Source organism: Homo sapiens, chromosome 6 (assembly GCF_000001405.40).
Source record: "Homo sapiens chromosome 6, GRCh38.p14 Primary Assembly".
Lineage (NCBI taxonomy): Eukaryota > Metazoa > Chordata > Mammalia > Primates > Hominidae > Homo > Homo sapiens.
This window is the reverse complement of record NC_000006.12, coordinates 49744389-49749813: the sequence shown is the minus strand read 5'-3', so window position 1 is coordinate 49749813 and position 5425 is coordinate 49744389.

The window sequence follows — 5425 nt, the reverse complement described above, 5'->3', positions numbered from 1 at the left end:
ATATGGATAAAGAAAGTGGGATATATATATATATCACATTTTATGTGTGATATATATATGTCACGTACACACACACATACACACACAATGGAATACTATTTGGTCATAAAAATAAAATAAGAAAATCCTGCCATTTGTGACAACATGAGTGAATCTGGAGGATATTATGTTAAGTGAAATAAGCTAGACACAAAGGACAAATGCTGTATGATCTAACTCATATGTGGAATCTAAAAAACTTCATGTCAAGAAAACAGTAGAATGCTGGGCATTAGAGCTTATGGGTGGGACGTAAGAAGGCATGTTGAGATGTTGGTTAAAGAACACACATGTACAGTTTGGAGGGGAGTAAGTTCAAGAGATCTATTTTACAGCGTAGCAATTACAGTTAATGGCAAATATTATATTCTTGAAAAGATGCTAGAAGAGTGGATGTTAAGTGTTCTCACCACAAAAATAAAAACTAAGAAAAGTAACGCATTTGTTAGTTATCTAGATTTAACCATTCCACAATGTATTTATACAGTAAGTCCTCATTTAACACAGTCAATACATTTTTGGAAACTGCGACTTCAAGTGAAACAACATACAGCACATCTTTTAATAACATCGTTTTTTTCAACATCATATCATTATAATGTCAATGAGAAAAAAATGCTGTTTTTATGCATCATTTTCCAGGACCTATTTGTGATGTATGAGGACTTACTCTACTACAAGACATGTTGTTCATTATAAATACATACGATTTTGTATGTCAATTTTAAAAATAAATATGTACATTGAAAAAAATCAAAGTTGGATTTGTTAACTTCATTCGGGCCCAAAGTTTGTTCATCCATTAATACCAACTCATCTCCAATTTTTGGTATATAAACATCTTTTATTTACCCATAAAGTGTATTCCTCTACTTGAATTCTTACAGCCATTACAATGGGCAATACAGATATTATCACCAATCACGTGGATTCATATGTTTTTCTACAGTTTTTTTTTTTCACATGCTAGTCTTACTGCTTCAGTAACTCAGGGACAGAATTTTTCAGTTCTCTTAGCACTCAGGTTAGTACAGTCAAAAAATGTTTTCTACACACCAACATTTTGATCCTCACAACACTAGGTATTATTTTTGTCTCTATTTTACAGGCAAGAAAACAGAATTGGATTAAAACCAAGACTAGCAAGAGTCAAGGACTTAGCAAACAAATACATCCAATTAGTGAAAGAAGCAAGACAGAGCCTTGTTTTCCCTTTTCCTTAAACAGAGACATACATAATTTTAAATATGGAAGGACTTTTTAAGTTATTTTGTCTGCTCCTTCACTTTTAAAATGAGATAAATGAATCATGTGATCATGATAAGCACCTTCACTGTTTTTTACATCATCTTTATAATATGCAACTATTGTAATAATGCAAATATTATCCCATATTATGGTGGATGCTGTTTAGGTATTGCACAGAGATCCCATCCCAGAGGCAATGCTTCTGTCCCCCAGATGTTGTGAGAATTAGCTACTGTGCCCACATCTGCCCCCTCTCAAGAGAATTGCCTTTGGCAGAGGAGAACCACCTTGTCATCTCCCCACTGTTACTAATGACTGACTGTTCATAGGTTTAAAAAGGCTGTCTGCAGCACTGCCTCTATTAATCAGGGAAGACTAGATTTTACCTGAGAACACATTCTTCTTTAGCTCTTTGTCCTCCCCTGACCTGCTTCACTCTTTTCCTTTCTGCTGCAATGTACTTCCTCAATAAATCAGAGCCAATGTAATTTGTGTCTCAGTGTATTTCTTGCAAACCTGACCTAAGATCGTGTGATCTTATATGGGTGTGTGCATGTGTGTTTGTGTGTGTGTAATAAATAATACACTGAATGGTGAAACACATAAATAATTTATAATTCTGATATTTCACTCATATAATTAGGCATTGAGTGACAAAAAGTAATCAGGATATTAACCAAAGGGACTGAGGAAGCAAGAGAAAAATGCAAATAAATTGACACACAGACTATACCTTTCTTGGAAATTAATAAGTCACTAAATTAAACCATTATATTAAAGGATAATTCAACAAAACAACAACTGATTTATAAATCTACTATTTATTAATGAGAGCAGAGTAAAATTAATTCTAATTCTAAAATGCACCTGAGTCTGTGCTCCTTAATTTATTGGTGAGGATACAGAAAATGAGAGATGCTCAATCATTTTGTTAAAGTCACCCTGACAGGCTTTGATAGAACTGCACCTTAAACACTTGAATTTCTGGTTAAACTATGATTGTTTCCTAAATACCTAAAACAAGAAAGACTTCTTATAAAGACTCCTGAATTGGCAGTTCAATCAAACAAAATGCATTCGTGGAAGACTTTTATGTACTCAGGAAATACCAGGCTTTGGAAGGGATAATAATACAAATGTTAATAATTCCATTTATTGAGTGTCACATGCCAAGCATCGCACTAATAGTTTAATTATGTATTCAGTACATTTTTATACACAAATTATGCTTTTCAGTCATTAAAACCAACGTATGATATGAAAATTCACATTTCAGAGAAGAGAAAACTGAAGCTCAGAAAGGATTTCTCAGACCTGGCAATTTCCAAAGACTGTAATCAGTAAACTATAGGTAGTTGGTAATAATGGGGAAGTAAAAGTCATAAAAAGCTGGGTCAAGAGTTCAGCTGTAAGGCAGGGATCCCAGTTGCCCTTGTAATAACTAGTCAGTTTTGGGTGGTCAGTGTAGAAATCCCAGGAAGGCAGCATTCAGATGTTGTTGTATCTAAGATGAGAGAAGGGCTGACTAGGAAGAGATGGAAGCTGTGCTTTATTTATTCATATTATAGACAATCTGGTTACACTGTACTAGTCAAAGCATAGGAATAGAAGAATAATTTTAAAGAGTAAGAAAAGGAGCATTCCTAAAACAAAATGTAATGATTAATAGCAACAGTCGCTAAGAGACTCATTGATAAGTTTCAATAGAATAGTGGGAATAGATTAAAATGTATATACAGGAACAAACTATTTGCTCTTTTAAGATGGAACTTAGATATCCAAATAAGAGCTGGAAGACACTCACTGCTAAAATTGGGAGACATGGATCATGAAGGGCCAGCAATGACCTTGGGACACGTAAATACAGAAAAGACAACCTAATCATGGGAAATGAGAGAACAAAGGTGACTAGAAACAGCCATTTTGGACACTTAAGGTCAGATTGAAGTCAGTCTGTCAGTCCAACGTGTGTATGGTATTTTGTGACCCAAAAAGACCACATATACTTATTTAGCTTAATAATAAATGTACCAATATTTGACAAGCAAAATGCCTTCTACATCATGGTGCATCTAGTGGTCATTTAGTCATAACTCAGTAAAAAGTTAGAGAAAAACTATCAAGTTTGAATAATGAGGCAAAAATATTTTTCCTTTTTATACTGTTTTGTGTCTACTTATGGTAATTTCTCACAGAACTGCCTATAGCTTAGTAAGTCAAACCATGTCCTAAAACTCAAGTGCAATCCCACAGCTTACAAATATTAGGGGTAGGTTTGTCTAGATACAGAAGAAAAGTGCATAAAGTGGGAGAGAATTAACACTGGAAATACTTACTACATGGCAGGCAGCTTACATATATTATGTATCACAATTAAATACAATTAATATTATTCCCATTTATGATAAATATGAAAATTTACAATCAGAATAATAATTTCCTAATAAAGTAGGTGCTGTGGCTCATGCCTGTAAGTCCAGAACTTTGGGAGGCCAAGACAGGAGGATTGCTTGAAGCCAGAAATTCGACACTAGCTGGGCAACATAGCAAGACTCTGTCTCTACAAAAAAATTTAAAAAATTAGCTGTGTATAGTAGTGCACACCATGGTCTCAGCTCCTTGGGAAGCTGAAATAGGAGATCCCTTGAGCCCAGAAATTCAAGGCTACAATGAGTTCTGATCTAACCACTGCACTCCAGTTTGGATGATAGAGTGAGATCCTGCTTCAAATAAAATAAAATATGATATAAAATAAAATAATAAAATATAAAAATTTCCCAATACACATTGGTATAGAAATTTAGCCCATTTCCATTAAAACAGAAATATCAAGCTTTTAACAACATTCTACACCACTAAGTAGAGAAGAGAATGGGCTGTGGATGCTTCTGGGTCTGGTCCTTCCCCACAAAATACATTTTGCCACAGAAAGAGGATTGTGTAGAAGGTTGTTCCATGGTGATTTTTTCCACATAGCTGATTTGGTTTATTGAGAGCTTCCACTTCACATGTTCATAAAGTAAACAGATTCTAGGAGTTACTTGGAGACATGGCAGCAAATGGTTAACCATTTTTTAATGGTAAAATCTGACCTGAGTTTCTGAGTTCTCAACTCTCTTATAACAGACATTTAGAAGTATCCAATTCTTGAACTCAAAATTAACTATAATTTTAAAATGTGCCTATTGTGTAGACATTGATCTGTGATTATACATTTTGTCACATTGATCAATAAAGCTAAATATAAAAATGAAAATGAACAGAAACTATTGAATTATGCACCACAAGGTGCAATCTATATGCCAATATGAGCATGCAGAAATGTCTGCGTGCTATGTATATGCTACTTGTGATTTATTAATTTATACTTCTTTATTTATATAAACTCAATATTTAAGATTATTGTATTTTAGAATCAGAGGAAATCTGAAATTGTTAGTCCACCCCACTTCATTATTGTGCTATGGAAACAAGCCTGGAATGATTGACATCTTCCATAGATGAACAGAACCAAATAATGATAATTTAGCTTGGAGATCAATATTATCTTTAATTTTATACAACCAGAAAATACAAGTAAATACAGCACATCTTTGAATATAGAAATACCAATGAGTTATGGTGTGTTTGGCCATTGAGTTCTGAAAGTCACTGTGGCCTTGTATTTACAAACATTAAAGATAAAATTATTATCCAAAACAGTAATGTCCAATAGATTATTAATAAACATTTTAGATAGCTGTAAAAAACATTGTGTTCTCTAGAGTTCATAAAAATTATGAGCTTAATTTCAATCCAACAGAAATAATTCTGAAAACTCTAATGTTGTGATGCTAATAATTGGGCTAAGAATTTTCAAACTATTGACTGGCAAAAACATGGATAAATTGTAATATATGAACTTCAAAGAATAAATGCACAATTACAAAACTTGATATAGCAATTTATTTTTAAAAGCCATTTGAGGAATCACCAAATAATTTCAAAATCATGACTAGAAAACCAGCAATGAAATTTGAGACTACTGGTATGACAAATCCTGTTTCAGGCCTTGTTGATCTAGAGTTACTTGCACAACCAGAATTTGCCAAAACAGGAAATAGGTGTTTCATATATACGGCTCTAACCTTCTCTCTCT